We start from the raw sequence: 19,312 nt of genomic DNA, 5'->3' as shown, positions 1-19,312 counted from the left end.
ATATTAAGTTTCCTAATACAAGAACATGGTAAAACCTTTCGCTTATTGAGTCTCCTTGATTCTCTCTCAGTAACCTTTTGTACATTTGCACATACTCTTTATAACTTTTTATTTTACCATAATATCAAACAGTGACAAGTTGGAAAAACACTGTAAGAAATATAAATTGGACCCAGATTCATCTACTATCAATAGTTGACTTTCTACTTCCATATTCCTTCTGTAAGTTGGTATTCTGGGTACTATTAATACACACGAAACAAACTACCCACCAACTTAATAACACATGAAAACTGCAATCAACTGCCTATCATCTCTATGGTTCTGGATGTTTCCTGGGCTCCACAAGGTTCCTGCCAGGCTTTCCTAAGGATGCAGTCAGTGAGTGGCTAGGGTAGGCGTCATCTCAAAGGTGGATGACATTAGACGTAAGGTTCTCAGCTGGAGTTGTTTGCCAATTCATGTGGCTGCTTGGTTTACTTGAAACTTCCAGAGGAGGAGCAGGCAGAAGTTATGCAGCCTCGATGACCTCTTATAGCCTCAGAAGACAAACAGCATTGCTTCTACACAGTTGCATGCCTACCAAAATTCAACAGAAGGAAGCATAAGGCAGTAGGTTCAATGGGAGGAGAGTCAAGATCACCCTGTTAGAAAAAAATGTAGGATAGGAGATCTTGTCACAGCCTTGTTGGAGAATACAACAGGCATCAGTCCACCCTGTGACCAAAGCAATTCACGTTCCTCCCACATGCTGAACACTCTAATTCTTACCTCAACATGCCCAAGTATTATTCCATGATAGTGTTACCGCATCATCAAAATGATGTCCTAGGGGAGTGATATCAGCAAGATGACTGACTAGGAGACACCAGCCTTCGCCTGCCTACCCCAAAAAATACAAACACAAAAACAAAAGCAAGACCAACAATGGGACAGCTATCCAAGATGGAAAATAGCCCTTGGAGTGTTCAAGAGCCCAGTTAAGAATGTGCAGGAACACAATTAGAAAAAACGCCCAGAATAACCATACAGAAAGCATCGCCAGAAGACGGCATGCCTGAGAGTCCTGAGACCTCTAAAATGAAAGAAGCAGGAGGCAATTGTTATCAGCCAGGAGGCAGGGTCACTGCACTCCCCATGGCCTGCTCTGTGGAGGACGCTGCAGCCTTTGCAGCTAATGACCTAAGTAAACCCCCAGGCAGCCCCGACCCTACAACATTCCCAGTGGATGCCCATTAGGATTCATTGTTGAGGATTACAGCAGCCTGCTCCAGAGGACACTGGTGCTTTTGGCATTAAGGTAACCTGCAGCTATAATCATATCACCCCAGAGAGGAAGATGCTGTGAAACCCTCCTCCCACACTCTCTCAAGAAGCAGCCCCTTCTGTGCTGCCTAGGATGGGGCTTCATTGCCCTAAACCCAGGCTCCAGGGCCTCATCCGTGGCTGGCAACTCAGACACCGAGCCACCTCCATGTGGACCAGCCCAGGCCCATGCCCAGATTTGCTGACACTCCAACTGCACTGTCACTCCAAGTGCACCAGCAGCCTGGCCCTGTGGCTGCTGTGGAAATTGCCTAAGACATAAAACAATATACAGCCACACAGTGGAGTGAAATGCAGAGAAAAACCACACAGAAATGATCACTGGGAGATGGCATACTTGAGAGTGCTGAGAAATAATGGCAAATACATCAAGAGTAATAAAAGACGTTGGTCTATAAGATCAAGACAAAAATCACTGAAAAAATAATGAAACTTATTCAGGATAAATGCCATGCATTATCCTAAATGGTAGTGTAACCATTCAGGATAAACTACAACTATACATATTATATAACTATACATATTATATAATTATTATATTATTTAACAGATAGTGTAACCACTCAGGATAAACTACAACTATACATATTATAGTTAAAACGCTGAACCAGACAAAGAGAAAATCTCAATTGTATCAAGAAAAAACGGGCTCATTTTACCAGAAAAACAATAATAGAATAATTGGCTAACTGTTCACAAGACTGATAGAGGCTAGAAGACAGCGGGATTACATATTTAAATGCCAGGTTCGGGGGACTCAGCAAAGGGTTCAATATCCAGTTAAAACATGTTTCAAAAATAAAGGTAAAGTAAAAACATTTCTTTATTAAAAAATGAAGAGAAATGATTACTTGCAGAGATGTGCTCTATAAAAAATTCAAGAGGAAATTCTTCAAAAATCACAGGAAATCACAGCAGATCGTAGCTTGAACGCACAGCGAGAAAAGAAGACTTCAAAAATAATAAAGAAACAAGAAAGAAGCAAGAGACAGCCAAACAAACGTGTTCACTTCTATTTATATGAGATTGTAGCACAGGGAAAACCAAATTATTATAATGAATATCTGAATACCAGTTACCTTGATTGGGATGGGGGAGCAGTTGATGCCTGGGAAGGTGCACAAGGGATGAATCTGGAGAATTTGAAATATTCTAGAGATTCATCTGGATGGCGAACATACGTAAAACTTAGTTGCATATTTAACATTTCCATCCTTTGTGAGTGTTTTATATCAATTAAAAAGTGTAAGAAGCCAATCCTGCACCCTGAATCCAATATGAATTTAAAAATAAGAATCATCATATGTTTACGGAATCTTAACCTTGCTAAGGAGAAGTGAGAAATGCACCTGGGAAATTCTAAGTAACGAGAAATCTAAGAGAGAAGACAAAGAGAAAAGGGAATTTATCCTACTCATGCAGCACAGATTTTATCTCTATTGGTTTCTCTCTAAACAGAGACAATATTTAAGTCATTTTGCCCTCAAGAGAGGCTCCCACCATCCCCTTGGCTCTTTCCACCCCACTGCACCCATCAGGGGATTTGCATATTGTCCCCTAGGGAGGACCTTCCATTGTGAGTCTGAGATAAAAGCTCAGCTCTAACCTTGCCTTGACTGATCAGGACTCCTCAGGGCACCTTCTCACGATGAGGCTCCCTGCTCAGCTCCTGGGGCTGCTAATGCTCCGGGTCCCCGGTAAGGACAGCAGGGAGATGAGGGAGGAGAATGGGGTGGGAGGGTGAGCTCTGGGGGCCCAATGTCTCCCATGTGTGTTCAGTCCACGTGTTAGATATGCAGGTCTTTTTCTGCAGCATGAGGCATATGATGTACTGATCTCTGAGAGGGAGGAAGATTTTAGAAGGAAGGATATGTGCCCTGAAGAAACACAAGTCTTAGAAAGAGGATGATGGTATGGGAGACCACTTTGTGCCTTGCATCTGTTGAGTTCTTTTTGAAATTGGATATTCCTGAAATTGCAAAGAAATTATACAGGCTGAAATAATAAATGGAAAATTATGAACATGATGCACAATATTTGTACATAACTTTGCCCTTTTCTGTCATCATTCCAGGATCTAGTGGGGACATTCTGTTGACCCAGACTCCACTCTCCCTGTCCATCACCCCCGGAGAGCCGGCCTCCATCTCCTGCAGGTCTAGTCGCAGCCTCCTGCATAGTAATGGAAACACCTATTTACATTGGTAGCTGCAGAAGCCAGGCCAGCCTCCACAGTGTCTAATCTGCAAGGTTTCTAACCGGTTTTCTGGGGTCCCAGACAGGTTCAGTGGCAGTGGGTCGGGCATTGATTTCACACTGAAAATCAGCCCGGTGGAGGCTGCGGATGTTGGGGTTTATATTACTGCATGCAAGCTACACACTGGTCCCCCACAGTGCTACATCCTGGAACAGAAACCTCTCTGCTGGGATTGCCCAGCTGCCCACATGTGCTGCTTGTCTGGGGAGCAGCTCAGCAGGGTCTCTGAGTCTGCAAAAGGGGAGGCTGTTGGAGAACTCAGGGGCAGGTTTGCTGTTGAGGACTCTGGGCCATGAATCCTCAGCTGTACCTCAAGCACTACCTGTTTGTTTACTTCTTTATGTTTTCAAGACAGGGTCTCACTCTGTTACCCAGCATGAAGTGCAGCGGTGTGATTATGGCTCATTGCAACCGTGAAATCCCAAGCTCAAGTGATTTTCCTACCACAGCCTACGGAGTAGCTGGAATCACAGGGGGCATGCCACCAAGCCTGATTAATTTTTGTATATAGTTTTGGTAGTCACGGGGTTTCGCCATGTTGTCCAGGCTGCTCTTGAGATCCTGGGCTCAAGTCATCCACCCAATTCGGCCTCCCAAAGTGCTGAGATTAGAGGCATGAGCCATCGGGCCCAATTCCCGCTCTTGCTGATGTACCTGTCACCTGACACAGCCTTGACAGTCATAAGTAACAGGGGTATGAGGAGGTTCTAGGGCCCTGTGAGTTAAAAATCAGGATGAAAGGGAAAGGAGAATGGAAGCTCATCTTCATCCTCCCTCCTTGCCTACAGTTGTTTATTAAATTTATTCAGCAAAACAGCCAGACAATTGATCATTTCTGGCAAGACACACTGAATACATCTTAGGGTTTAACAGTTTGGGATAGATAGATAGATAGATAGATAGATAGATAGATAGATAGATAGATAGATATAGATAGAGATATAGATATAAATATAGACATAGACATAGATATGGATTGATATAGATTTTTTTTGAGACAGAGTCTCCCTCTATCGCCCAGGCTGGAGTGCAGTGGAGCAATGATCGCAGCTCACTGCAACCTCTGCCTCCCAGTTTCAAGCGATTCTCCTGCCTCATCTCTCAAGTAGCTGAGATTACAGGCTCTCGCCAACATGCCCAGCTAATTTTTGTATTATTAGTAGAGACGGGGTTTCACCATGTTGGCCAGGCTGGTCTCCAACTCCTGACCTCAAGTGATCCACTGGGCTTAGCCTACCAGAGTGCTGGCATTACGGCATGAGCCAGCGCACCCGGCCATATTTTCAAGAAAATATTTGGTTATATTTAAAATTGGCATTTTCCTAGTTTGTTTTAACTTCCGCTTCTTCTATTTAGCACTCATTGCCCACTCCGTAAGACAGGAGAGACAGCATTCTCCACTAGTTCTCCTCAGAGGGAGCTGGCTGAGGACAGTCAGTGAAATCTTGGTAGTGAGCGTCAAATAGATTTTGTAATTTCATAGCAGATACAAGATACTAATACTGAACCTTTTTTTAATTACAATTATCTCTCACTGATAGAAAAATGGAGTTCTTGAAACTCCAAAAGCTGGTTTTAGAAATAAAAAGCAAATCCTGGAAGATGTAGTATACTAAAGATGTAGTATTTTCCATGGATCACTGGGAAAATAAAGGATGATGGAAACTTTTTTATTTCCCAAAGTTCAGAATTCAAGATTGGACAGACTGCAGGAATAGGGGCCTTAGGGGTACAGGAGAGGTCGGCTATTGTTCAATTAAACTGCCCTTGGTTTACGGTGGGTGGGATGTGGATGGTGGTGGTGATGGCAGTTGATGTGGACCCACAAAGGAGCCAAATATGTTTCTTGCGAAGAATCACAGAGTTGAAGGCACTGCTGCGTGGCTTCCTGGGCGGAGCCTGTGCCACTGGGAGTCTCACAGGAAAGTAATGTCGTGAGTAGGGCTTTAGGTGTGTAATCACCAAAGGGTTAGTGAAGTCCCTGTACAAGGAGACCTGAGGTCATGTCACTCAGTCTTAGTGAAATCACAGCAGCCAAGCAGAGCTTCTGAAACTTATTCTATCCTTAGAGGAGGTCTAGCAGAGACCACCGTCTGGGTCTGGGAGATGTCAGAAGCACTGACATGCTGAGCAGAAGGCCCAGCAAGACGTAATCCAGCAGGTTTTGATAAATGACAATTTTGATATTAAGTTGTCATAAAAAACAATAAAAGGTTTTGAAATAAGTAAATGTATTATTTTTACACAATGTGGTCATTGCCTAAAAATAAATCTGATTTCCATATTCTAACAGTAATGGTATAGAAAAATGTATGATTTGCATATAGTCACTTAAAATAATGCTCCAAAAATATTTATGAATTATTCAAGAGCATGTCTGTTACTGCCGTGAGGTGATATGATTAAAGTAATGTTCGTATCAAAAGGACAAAATATCTTTTTTTCTGGTTAAAAAAATGAATCACATCAGAAATTATTGTCTATTCTAAGATGATGGATCCCATTGTGAATGAATTTAAAATTGTATTTCCAAGCAGAAATGTCAAAAAAAAAGGAAATCATGAAATATAGCAAGTAATTTGTCACACGTACAAAGAATGACAAGTCTTTAGAGTAGTTTTCCATTCATGAGTGAGAACACACATCCAACCCAAAATCTACTGGTCTCACTCCCATAATCACTAGTGTGGAGACTAAAGGTAGTGCAATTTAAATTACATTCCTAACCAAAAAAAGGTTCAAAAACAAAGAAAGGATGCTTCATAGAAAATATCTTGCAAAACAAAGAATGACATGTCTGTAGAAGGTATTCACAAGCAGGGACTCACATCTAACCAAAATTCTAGGGATTTCACCATCACAAACACTACTTTGGAGCCTGGAGATGCTGCACATCCTCCTGTGAGCAGAACACTCACTGGGACCCTGCACAGTGTGATGGCCCCAAACATAAAGCTCTCAAGGAAGCTCCGCCTCTCAGCGTGGAAGGAGAGGCTGCGGTGCCAGGGGATGTGTCCACAGAGAGTCGAGTCAGGTGGGCTCAGGCAGTTGCCTGGAGAGTCTTTGAGGAAGAGGACATGAGGCCTCAGTCACAGGTACATGCTCCTCTTCTGTGTGAACAGGGGCCAGGTCTCTCCAGGGCACCTTCCAGAGCCTCTTCCTTCCTAACTCCTTGGGGTGCTCAAGCCCTACAGACCCTCCAGTGTTGGCTGCCACATCCTCACTGGACCAGCCGCTAAGGTTTCCTGCTGTCGTCATGGCTGCAGGGATGCTCAGTCACATCACTGGGAGGAGACCCTAGTGTGTCCCATCCTCAACTGCTACAGGCATACTTGACTTGAACTATGTTTGTTTTGCTCCATTGAACATTTTATGTCACATTGTTCACAGTAGAGACATACCCCCTCCACCACTGACCCTTTCCACACTGCTGCACCCACCAGGTGATTTGCATATTGCACCCTAGGGGAGGACCTTCCCTTGTGAGTCTGAGGTAAAAGCTCAGCTCTAACCTTGCCTCGACAGATCAGGACTCCTCAGTCCATCTCACAATGAGGCTCCCTGCTCAGCTCCTGGGGCGGCTAATGCTCAAGATAGAAAAAATATGAGGTGGGAAAATGGGGTTGGAAGGTGAGTTCTGGGAGCTCCATAGCTTCCCATATTTATTTCAACCATGTGTTAGAGGCACATGGTCTATGCTCCAGGAAAGAGAATTCATATTTTTGTCTTAAGAATAATCAGGATTCACCTCCAAGGAACAATGACCTCTGATTAAGATCTTGAAAATAAAGAGTTCCCTGCTGGCTGGTAAATAATGGGTTCATTTTAGAAAGTCTACTTTCCATGATATAAATCAAAACTTGAAAATATATGTAACTGTAAATCAGTATCATAGAGAAATCATGAAAGCTGCTCATAATGTGTCTATACAAACTTGCACTTCTCTGTTATTATTTCAGGATCCAGTGGTGATACTGTGATGGCCCAGACTCCACTCTCCTGGCCTGTCGCCTCTAGAGAGCCACCCCCATATCCTGTAGGTCTAGTCAGAGCCTCTTGTCCAGTGATGGATACACCTATTCGTATTGGTTCCTGCAGAAGCCAGGCCAGTCTCCACAGCTCCTGATCTATTTTGTTTCAAACCGGGCCTCTGGAGTCCCAGACAGGTTCAATGGCAGTGGGTCAGGCACTGATTTCACACTGAAAATCAGCCGGGTGGAGCTGAAGATGTTGGGGTTTATTACTGCATGCAGGCTCTGCAGCTTCCTCCCACAGTGGTACAGCCCCATAGAGAAACCTCCCTTCTGGGGTGTCCCAGCTGCTCACATGCACTGCTTGTCTGGGGAGCAGCTCAGCAGGGTCTCTCAGTCTGCAGAAGAGGAGGCTGTTGGAGAATTCAGGACAGAGTTTGCTGCTGAGGACTCTGGCCCATGAAAGCCTCAGCTGCACCTCAGTCCCACATGTTAAGGCTCCATCAGCTGCCACATGTAGCCACCTGCTCTGGGAACAGCCAGCTCTGATGAAGGAAGAGTGAATGAAGCTCATCTTCACCCTCCTTGTCTGGCCCACATTTGTTGAGTCCATTTATTTGCAGAACAATCAGATCATGGATGCAGATTAGTGGTAACAGAAGTGAAAAACATGTTGCAAACGACTGGTCTGGGGATAGTTTTATACATGGTAACAGTTGTTCATGTTGAGAAATTGCTATCTTCCCACTTTCCAAACTTTCTCTCTCCTTTACCACTCACACGAACCTGCCCTCCCTAGTACTATGGTGGAGAAAGCATTCTGCACCAGCTATTTTCACGGGAGTATGGCTAAGAATAATTAGTTATAATGTCTGATTGTTTTTTACTACTTATAGATTTTTAAAATCCAGGGGAAATATAAATCCTAATCCCGAAATAGTTTGATTTACCTCAATTACCTTTTGCTGACTGAAAATGGAGTTCTTACAATTCCAAAAGTGGGATTTGAAAATAAACAAAATAACTCAGGAGGAAAACATAAAGTTTATATAACATATCACAGGAACAATGCAGAATTGCATGAGATTTTTATTTTCTTCTCAAATTCTTAGAATTTTAAAAGTATTTTACTGACATAGTACTTTAGAGAGGAAATATCTAGTACTATGTTGTCATAAGAAAATCATTCGAAGAATGAATAAATGCATTATTTTTACATGACCCTATTTTTTTCCTGAAAATAAATCTGAATCGTCTATTTTAGTTGTAAATGCATAGAAAAATTATGCCCTTAATAGATTCTATTAACTCGTCATTTAGCATTAGGTATGTCTCCTAATGCCATCCTTCATCCCTCCCCCCACCCCACAACAGTCCCCGGAGTGTGATGTGCCCCACCCTGTGTCCATGTGTTCTCATTGTTCAATTCCCACCTATGAGTGAGAGCATGCGGTGTTTGGTTTTTTGTCCTTGCCAGAGTTTGCTGAGAATGATGGTTTCCAGCTTCATCCATGTCCCTACAAAGGACATGAACTCTTCATTTTTTATGGCTGCATAGTATTCCATGGTGTATATGTGCCACATTTTCTTTATCCAGTCTATCTTTGTTGGACATTTGGGTTGGTTCCAAGTCTTTGCTATTGTGAATAGCGCCGTAATAAACATACGTGTGCATGTGTCTTAATGGGTGCAGCACACCAACATGGCACATGTATACATATGTAACAAACCTGCACATTGTACACATGTACCCTAAAACTTAAAGTATAATAATAATAAAATTAAAATTAAAATAATAAATAAATAAATAGATTCTATTGACAATAATGTTCTAAATTTATATGCTTTCTTAATATGAGGGCTGCGGTCTGATACATATCTGTATACATTTTGCCATGGAACTTTTAAACCTAACAAATGCTTTCCGTTAAAAAAGCAATAGTGCTTTCTTCACCATAATACTAGAGAGGGCAGTTTCGTGTGAGTGGTAAAGGAGCAAGTTTGGAAAGTGGGAAGACAGCAATTTCCCAATATGACCACCTGTTACCATGTATAAAACTATCCCCAAACCAGTCGTTTCTAACATGTATTTCACTTGTGTTACCACTTGCCTGCTTCCGTGATCTGATTGTTCTGCCAAATAAATTTACATGAACCCGAGTAATGAGTGATGTCTTTTACATGTGAAAACACTGTGTAGAGACACAAAAGGCTCATTGAATCTGATGCAGGCTAACAGCTTAAATTATACTTGAGATGATTTATGTCAAGATAACGGATTCCACAGGAAGTGCAATTAAAATTCCCATGTGTCATTTCTGTTGGGTTGAAAAGTTGCATGGCAAAATGTATATAGATGTTTAGTAGACCATAGCCCTCAAATTAAGAAACATAAGCACTTAATATGTTATTCAAAAATACTAATTAATGTTTCTTTGAGCCTAAATGTTATTACAGAACGCAGTAAAAGAAAATAAGATGTAAGTAGCAACAGCAGGAGATACAGCAATTCCGTTGTCACGTTAGCCCTCCTGTGATTGACAGCACCTAGTCACCTTGAGTTTCTGCTTTTCTGTGAGACAGAAGATAAAATCAAAACCCATTCAAGGCGGTTAGATATATTCTTAGGAAAAGCAAACAAATGTACAACCTACCTGATGCTGATATCCCAAAGGTCTATATTCTCAAGTCAAAATGGTGAAAAGTAAATGATTCCAAATCTGAAAGGAGAGAGACACAAGGAGAATCAGAGCATAATTAAATTTATTACAAAGAAACCTCAAAATATGGTGGACTAAATGTGACAAGGTTTCTGTGTCTGTGCCATGGCAGTGCAGAGGCAGGCACGTGGCCTTGGTGGTGTGGGTGGCTCTGCTCCATGAGGTCACTCAGGTGGACAGGAGGCACGACCACCCTGAGAGCACAGCCTTCCTCCTTCCTCACAGTCACTGCCCCCATGGTCATCCTCAACAGCATGAGGTGGAACTGAATGGAGAGAAAGCTGTTTTCTTCTAAGGATCAAAAATAAATACAGAAACAAATAAAACCTCTAGCTTTCCATCAGGGACAAATGTACTTTTGACTCAGTCACAGATTTGAGAAATTTTCCATTGAGCGGGTCTGCTGGTAAACCCACGTTCATTGTTTGTTTGTTTTAATCTGAAAATGTGTTTACATGATTCTTGAAGATATTCTTTGACAAGAAACTTCCATATGTGGTAGCCTATTTGAAGTTGTCATTTACTATTTCATCATTGCTGCTAAAAAGTCATTTGTTAAAAAATCCGTGACTCTAACTGTTCTTGTTTGAAAGGAATACGTCTTTTTAAGATACTCAGATTCCTTTTAAGCTCTTCATCTGGCCCTCCTTTTTTCTGATTCAATGTATTGTTTAATTTTTTACTTATGACTAATTAATCAATTAATTTTCACAATCACAGAATCAAATGTCCGATAAGTTGCTATGTCAAAGACCTGTCTGAAGATGGCAAAAACACTCCACAATAAACAAAAGACAACACCATGGTCTCAGGAACACTGGGAAAGTAGGAGTGCTGGTGTCCCATTCTCAACAGGGAGCCCGAAAGGTAGAGGCGGGTCTTTCTTGTGACCTGGGCACCGGGGAGGAGCCACCCATGTGCTGAGTTGTGGGAACCTGCCCCATTCTCTGAGACTGGAAGCAAGGCCCCGGCTGTGTCCCACCTGCTATGGACTGAATTGTGCCCTCAGATTCATGTTGAAACCCTAATTTCAATATGACTGTAGAAATTAGGACCTCTAAAGATGTAATTGAGGTCATAAGGGGGGTCCCTGATCCAGTAGAATTCGTGTTTTGTTGTTTTTGCTTTGTTTTGTTTGTTTGCTTGTTTGTTTTTGAGGCAGAGTCTCGCTCTGTCGCCCAGGCTGGAGTGCAGTGGCGCCATCTCAGCTCACTGCAAGCTCCGTCTCCCGGGTTCACACCATTCTCCTGCCTCAGCCTCCCGAGTAGCTGGGATTACAGGTGCCCGCCACCACTCCCGGCTAATTTTTTGTATTTTTAGTGGAGGCGGGGTTTCACCGCGTTAGCCAGGATGGTCTCGATCTCCTGACCTCATGATCTGCCCGCCTCGGCCTCCCAAAGTGCTGCGATTACAGGCGTGAGCCACTGCGCCTGGCAAATTCGTGTTTTTATAAGATTCAGAGAGCTCTCCTTTCTCCCTTCTCTCTCTAATTGCCTTCCGCTCTATGGAAAGGCTGTGTGAAGACACCGTGAGAAGGTGGCATCTGCAAACCAGGAAGAAGGTCTTTACCAGAAAGCAAACCCTGCTGGACATCGATCTGGGCTATTCCAGGCACCAGAAATATGAAAATTAAATTCTGTGGTTTCTGCCATCCAATCCAGTTTTTTTGGTGTGGCAATGCAAGCTGACTCATCCACTTTTCCCACTCTCTCTGAGCAGGATCAGCCTCAGGAGACCCTCGTGGACGTGGGGACCTGGTGTTGCTCCTCTTCCTCCTGCTTTTCCAATTCTCTGGTGAAGAGGGAGAACTCGGGCTTCACCTTCAGTTTCAGTTCTGTGTATTAAACATGAATTTAATGCAGTTTCTTTGCATTAAACATCCTTCAAGATGAAGTCTGTCGCCCATTTTGCTTGTTCATCAGAATTCAGTCAAACTGAATGAAGTAGTTATTTAGAATTAACACTTGGGGATGTTCATAATTGTTCCCCACTTATGTGACAGTTGGGATATTGTGCGGTGCTCATCTCCAGGCCCCTCCCTGTGTTCCAGGAGACAGGGTCACTGTCACCAGCAGAGCCAGTCACGGAAATAACAGTGTCCTAGCCTAGCTCCACAGGAAATAAGGGCTGACGCTGATCTCCTGCTGGCTCCCACTGCCCCCTGGACACGATGCCCGCCTGGGTCAAGGGGGTGAGTCTGGACAGACGTCACTCTGGCCATCAACAGCCTAACTACCTTCATGACCTCCCATTGTGAACAGAGTCCCAGAAGTTGCTTGAGCCATGAAAGTTGGACAGAGAAATCCCACATCACTGCAGTCAGAGGGGGGCTGTGAAAAGACCGTGGGGGGGGGGTTTCATACTATGATCATGCAGCACTGAGCCATGGCTGCCACTCTGTCTGACGGGAGCCCCCGGGGGAAGATCCACTCACACTGTGCTCTAGAGGTCGTTTTTGTCACCATCTTGGTTCTAGCTGGTTTGGGCCAGTTTCTGTAGCGCATCCTCTTTTGTCGAGATCCTGTTCCAGTCAGCGTTGTCATGACCAATGTTGGGATCGGTGCTCAGAACACAAGTCCTGATGATCTCCTACCTTACACTCGCTGCCTTCTGTGAATCAGATATTCTGATAAGGATCCTGTTGGATCCTACTCGAATCAGGGGCCACACAGACCCTCACTGAGGGCTGAGGACCACAGGCATCTGAAGATAAGCAGAGGTCCAGAGAATGATAGCCCCTGACTGTCCTCTGTGAAGACAGCTTCTCCCCAGATGGCTGAGGACTATCTTTGGCTGTGTCCTTCTTTCTGAGTGATAATGAGGGATAGAGCAGGTCTCTAAGCCAAACCACAACATTTCAGGGACAATGATACCTATGCAGGCCCTCCTATGTGTGCTGCTCTAACCTAGACATAGGTGGCACTGGATACGCTTAGGGAAGTGAGGAGATTTATAATCAGAAGGAAGAAAGAGGGAACGAGAGGAGGAGAGAGAGAGAGAAGAGCGTGTGATGTGTGTATAGTACCAACACTGAAGAGTCATTCTATAATGGTTTAGTGCTGAGTATGGTGCTCAAATGATCAGGCTGTATTCCATGGAAACTATACAGGTACCTTTCACAGGAAAAGAGCCTTTGCACATGAAATTAAGGATTATAAAACAGGCAGATTATCCTGTATTGACCAGGTGGGCCCTAAAGGGGCCTGTCTTTGTTAAATGTCATTTTTAAAAATCCTGCAGAAGAGAAGGCCATCTGAAGACAGCAACAGAGATTGAAATGATTTGGACTCAAGCCAATGAAAGCTTAAACCAACAAAAGCTAAGAGAAGTAAAAAAAAATAGACTTGCCCCTGGAGACCCTGGAGCAGCTTTGTCTGATGACAGCCTGCTCCTGGCTGCTGAAACTGATGCTGGACTTCTGGCCTCCAGAACTATAAGAGAATATATTTCTATTTCTTTAAGCTACCAAAGTTTTGGTAATTTGTTATAGCAGCCCAAAAATACTAATACAAATGGGGCTTAGAATAAATCCAGCCTAAAGGTAGTATAATGATTGGGAATCTCCACGTTCGATTCTCTAATGTTACACATATTAGAAGATTTTATGAGGAAATAGCGTACAGGAAACCCCACGGTGTATACTGGAGCATCTGTTAATTATATAATAAATGTTGATAATTCTTAGTAGAGCATGACATCTGGGTAGTAATATCTTATCTAGAATCTTCATTCTAAGATATTCAAGGATGCAGAAAAGGGGCCCTAAGTAGTCTTTTCATACATATATATGCATAGATACATTTCCTGGTGCATCAACTAGAGAAACCTTCAGGACAGCCCTTGATATCCTTGGTGCTACTTTTCACAGGTGAGTAAACTGTTCATCAGAGCACAGGGGTGGTTTGCCCAAAGATACATGGCCAGCAATTATCAGGGCTGAGCTTGGAACCCAGCTTAAATATGTCGCTTCCACATGGCCACATTTGTTCCATGGAGGAATGAATGGCTTTTAAACTCAGAGAAGAGACAAAGCCGGAAGGGTGGTGTGGAATTCTCAGCAAGCGCCTTGCTACCTCTGAACCTTGCCATGATTACCACAATTATAAACTCAGGCCTTTCTGCAGTTTTGTCCACATAGCAAAACTTCCTCCAAGTCTTTAAAATTTAAATGTCTTTCTTTCAGATTTGAGGGCAGGAGCACATCTCGCATTGCCCTGAACACTTTGCTTCTTTTCTACCATCCTCATCTCCCTGAGCCGGCTCTTCCCTCTCAAAATGTGTCCTATCAATCTGATTTCTTCTCCTAATGTGAAAACAAATGAACAAATAGCCCCCTACTTTTGTCATCTCCAGAGAACACAAGAGCTAATCACATACCCAGAGAGTATGAGAGTTTAAAGGATTTATCCAAGAGCTTTTACACATAAGAAGTATTCTGCTGCTAGCCCTCTTCACAGTGAAATGCCTGTGTGTCTTGTTAAAACTGACACTAAAAAATGACAAGATAGAGCCATTTTGAAGAACGGAGGGTGACCATTCCAAGATAATTCAGGTGTTTCCTAAATTTTCTAAATATCCCTATGCGTTAAAAAAAAGATTTGACAAGAATTCAGACCATACCGTCCAAGAAAGAATGTTTTTCTGCTTTCTTAGGTTGGCTCTTTCAGGGATAATGATGCCTATGCAGGCAGCATGTTTATAATGCACAGGAAACACGGGGAGGAAACAAGGCAGTGAAGGAGGAAAGAAAGGAGGGACTCCAAAAGTCTCCTCAGCAAAGAGCTACCGCTGAGGATGGCTGGAGCTCAAGCCCACGTGGAAACAGGGGAAAATGTCTCAGTATTATTCCAGCTGAGAAGAGAGGGAGCTGGGGTATATACACCTCTCCTGTCCTCACTGATTGAGGGCTTTCTGAGAGGATGCTCATTCCAGGTGCTGTGAAAGGCCATGTGTGCAGGCAGGGCTGCCTTCTCCAGTTTGACATAGAGCAGTGAGGAACAGATATGGCCATGGGGAGTCAGCAGAAGTACAGCAAAGGGGAAAGGCAAAGGGTAGCAAGAGTGACTGCTACATTCACCTCCCCGCACAAAAAAAATGTGTGTATTTCAATCCAGAGCTTCTTCTCTCTGAACCTAAATCTTAGCAAGCAGTTTGCCAGTAATTTCCCTTGAAATTCAGGCCCCTGGAAAGCAGCAGGAGATCTGGGTACAGGCTATACCACTGTGGTCTGCTCACTCTTAGTGATGCGTGAGTAATGCTCCCTGGACTCCCCAGGTTCTAGTCTTCTCATGTCGATGTAGTTGATTCCACTTCCCTTGCTGCACAACCAGGCTGGGATGCCTGGGCAGAGGCAGACATGTGAGGTATAGGGGTTCAAATCTGTTTCCAAGTTTTATCCAGATCCCAAGTATTTCTTCACGTACATGGGCGGTGGCTTGGCAGGAGATGCAGATTCTCTCTCCTGGAAGTGAGGCAAGGAGGCTGGCGTCTGGGTAAGGATGATGTCCCCACATACTGCTAAAGAGTCAAAGAGGAAAGTGGCATCGATGGTGCAGGGCAGAGACATGCACTGAGTAGCTGCTGCCCTCACTGAAGAGAAAGTGTTCACTGACTTGGCCTTTCCCCAGGGCCTCTCCCTCCCCTGCTTTCCAGAAAGCCCAGTTTTTTGGGAGCTGTACCTGAACACCTGGGAACATTCCGGTGGGAAAGGCAGCTCAGAGCATTAGCAATGGTAAGTTACCTTGTTCTTCTTCCTGTGGAGACAATTGATCATATGGGTCAGCAAGACGGAGGTGCTGTCCATTTAGTCCCTGGTTATTACAGAGACCTATAGCTCTGGATTATGGAAGATCTGTGAGTGGCACAGGCATTGAGGAATCACAGCATCATTATTGTGCATCTGCAGGGAATGGCTTGAAAATAGACTGGTAATAACAAATGTTTCAGGTCACTACAAAATACCTTTGAATATTTAAATATGCTTCTGACAAAGACTTTTTTCCCACATGAAACAATGGGAGCAACGTGACAATCACAGAGGTGTTGTTAGTATAACAAAGGGATTGTCACTCCCACAATGTCCACTTAAATAACTTGAAGACCTGATAGCCCCATTCTCTAAGACATTATCAGACATTCCCTACAAATGGTCATACTCTCCTATATACTCCCGATACAACTCTAAAATATATGACTCCATGTAGTCCCTAGGTTTGAATTAAATTTTGACTTTTTTCTCCCAAAATATCTCTTGTCGAAACAACGGATGTAGAGAGAAATACATTCCCTCCAGGCAAATCTGTCAGGCCTGGTCTGACCTGGGACCCTGCGGACACTGCCCCTTTGCTGAGTTACCGAGATGAGCCAGCCCCGTGGCTGTGCCCAGCCTGCCCCATCCCCTGCTGATTTGTGTGTCCTAGAGCGCAGCCCCCTGCCCTGAAGACTTCTTAATAGGCTGGTCACACCCTGTGCAGGAGTCAGTTGCAGTCAGGACACAGCATGAACATGAGGATCCCCGCTCAGCTCCTGGCCTTCCTGCTGCTCTGTCTCCCAGGTAAAGAAGGAGAACACTGGGAAGTTAGCCACCCAGTGTGCTCAGTACAGCCTGGCTCTTCAGGGAAATCCTCGCATAACATGGTGAAAAGTGTAAATATTTGTTTTTGTATTTCCAACCTGAGATGCCAGATGTGACATCCAGATGACTCAGCCTCCATCCTCCCTGTCTGCATCTGTAGGAGACAGAGCCACCGTCTCTTGCCAGGCTAGTCAAAGCATTTACAACTATTTAAATTGGTATCAGCAGAAACCAGGGAAAGCACCTAAGTTCCTGACCTATAGGGCATCCAGTTTGCAGAGGGCGATGCCATCTCAGTTCAGTGGCAGCGGATATGGAAGAGATTTCACTCTCACCGTCAGCAGCCTGCAGCCTGAAGATTTTGCAACTTATTAATGTCAACAAGAGAGCATTTTCCCTCCCCCAGTGTGACAAGTCATAACATCAACTGCTAGGATAGCAGATGAGTGAGGCCGGGTTGCCCTAGATGCCCCTCCTAGTGCCTCAATCTGCTGAGTTGTTTTCCAGATGCAGCCAAGTTTTGAAGGTCGTCTGGAAATTTTGGTAAATTGTGATGAGGTGGCTCCTTTGCACCCACTCTCTTTCCTCCTCATCCCCAGAAGCAAAGACATGAAATGCGAGTCCTGATTTAATAAAGAGATTTAACCACCTGAGGAGTCTGTTATGGGATGATTGGAATTCTTGTAGCAAAAGAGAAGCCACTCTAGCCCTTCCAAGCAGGAATCGTTTTAATTTATGAAATCAGTGTCTAAACTACAGCTTTTCAAGGCCTGGTTGATGTTAGTCACGGAAGCAGATACTAGAGACATGATTCTCTGGTGCTCCTGCAGAAACCAGGGTGCACCCTACCCTGCAGGTGTGAGCTGCCTAGCCACATGGTCCTTGGATCTGTCTGAGAAGCCCAGAGTGCAGGTGCTGATGCTCTCAGCCTCCTGCAGTATGTCTCTAGGTGATTCTCTAGGTCTCAACTAAGTCCACTTGTCTGTCTGCAGGTGTCAATGAGCATTGAATCATTCTCTTCTGACTTCCAAATCTCGTGGAAGGACCCCTCAGTGAACAACTCTACAGGAAAGTATAGAGGGAAAGGTGGTTCTGAAGAATGCGCTTTCAGAAGTGATGGTGATAATGAGGAACTGACAGCTGAAAGCCCAACATGGTCAGTATTTTCACAAAATAGTGAAAACTTTTGCCAGTTATGCATGGCCTCAGAATACATTTGAATATACTTGCACTTGTCACATAGCAACATAACTTTATTAAGTCATAGACACAGCTTAAAAATCAGGAAATTGTATGACATACATAACAATCATTTTACAAACAAATGAAAAATATTTCTTAACAAAGAAACCAAAACAACAGAAAAACCTGAACATTGGTGTAACCTTTTTTAAATTATGAAAATTCTTTGCTACTCAACATGTATCCAGAATCCAGCAGGATCATTAGCACACTGAGAGCATGATACATATGCTAAATAGCAGAACGACCTTCAGTTCACTGAATGAGAACCTTTGTTTAGCCATGGTAGTTGATAACAGGTGACCTATAAAAGGTTTAAGAAGCTATGTTCTATGTGATATTTGTTTCAGCTAAAGAGATACCGTGGTGGTGGGCACCATTGGCCCCAGCTACCAGGGAGGCTGAGGCAGGAGAATCGCTTGGACCCAGGAGGTGGAGGTTACAGTGACCCAAGATCATGTCACTGCCCTCCAGCCTGGGTGACAAGAGCAAACTTCTGTATACTATTATGGCAATGAGGCTATTTTTAAAAATTTCAATGGAAAGCCACATGTTGCAGCCACACCCAGCTTTATTTTCTAATCCATGCAACATGACATTTGAAAACAATTGGAAGATTGTAAAGTTGGAGAAACATAATGATCTGTCCATGGAATAATAAAATGCTTTGATGTTTAAATGGAGGAAAAGTTTGTAGGAACCATAATAATTACCAAGGTGAAAGAATAACTTAAAATTGTGTGTATCTGTGTTCAAAATTATTAGACTTCATTCACCATTTCAACTTGGTTTGGGGAGGTTGCCCACTCCTGCTGCCTTCATCAGAATATGGTGCCTGGGTAGATACTGCCCTTTAGCCTTGACCTCAGATGAACACAATCCATAGGTTAGAGACAAGCTCTGCTCCCTGCAGCAAAACCACCCAGCTGAGCCCTGTCTTGAAGAGTCATGTTAATACTAAAATGATCATCCAGAAACACGATAAAACTTGATGTAATACACTGACTTTTAAGTAGTTGGTTATCAATCATCATTGTGCAAAAAAAGTGACCAATGTAATACTTACACATTCACCCATATAGGATGTATCTTATTATAATTAGTGGCAGAAGTATAAATATTTGGTAATGTATTTATAAAGCTACCAATGAGAAATTTAAAAAGAAATTTAAAAAATTATATATAAATAAAAAGTGTAAAATTTACCTTATTTATGGAAACT

General features: G+C 43.4%; 2 pseudogenes, besides 2 other annotated features; both read left to right on the top strand.

Annotated features, from left to right (window-relative positions):
• IGKV2OR2-7D (immunoglobulin kappa variable 2/OR2-7D (pseudogene)) lies at positions 2,727-3,766 on the top strand (annotated as a pseudogene).
• IGKV2OR2-8 (immunoglobulin kappa variable 2/OR2-8 (pseudogene)) lies at positions 6,881-7,975 on the top strand (annotated as a pseudogene).
• Positions 16,149-16,649: an enhancer, noted in NCBI's record as "H3K4me1 hESC enhancer chr2:98050462-98050962 (GRCh37/hg19 assembly coordinates)". NCBI's record gives its function as "activates a minimal SCP1, AML or CMV promoter by ChIP-STARR-seq in primed H9 embryonic stem cells {active_cell/tissue: H9 hESC(primed)}" and the evidence as "EXISTENCE:reporter gene assay evidence [ECO:0000049][PMID:30033119]".
• Positions 16,650-17,150: an enhancer, noted in NCBI's record as "H3K4me1 hESC enhancer chr2:98050963-98051463 (GRCh37/hg19 assembly coordinates)". NCBI's record gives its function as "activates a minimal SCP1, AML or CMV promoter by ChIP-STARR-seq in primed H9 embryonic stem cells {active_cell/tissue: H9 hESC(primed)}" and the evidence as "EXISTENCE:reporter gene assay evidence [ECO:0000049][PMID:30033119]".

This window comes from Homo sapiens, chromosome 2 (genome assembly GCF_000001405.40).
Source record: "Homo sapiens chromosome 2, GRCh38.p14 Primary Assembly".
Lineage (NCBI taxonomy): Eukaryota > Metazoa > Chordata > Mammalia > Primates > Hominidae > Homo > Homo sapiens.
Note: the sequence above shows the minus strand (reverse complement) of the source record. Positions and strands in the feature narration are given on the sequence as shown.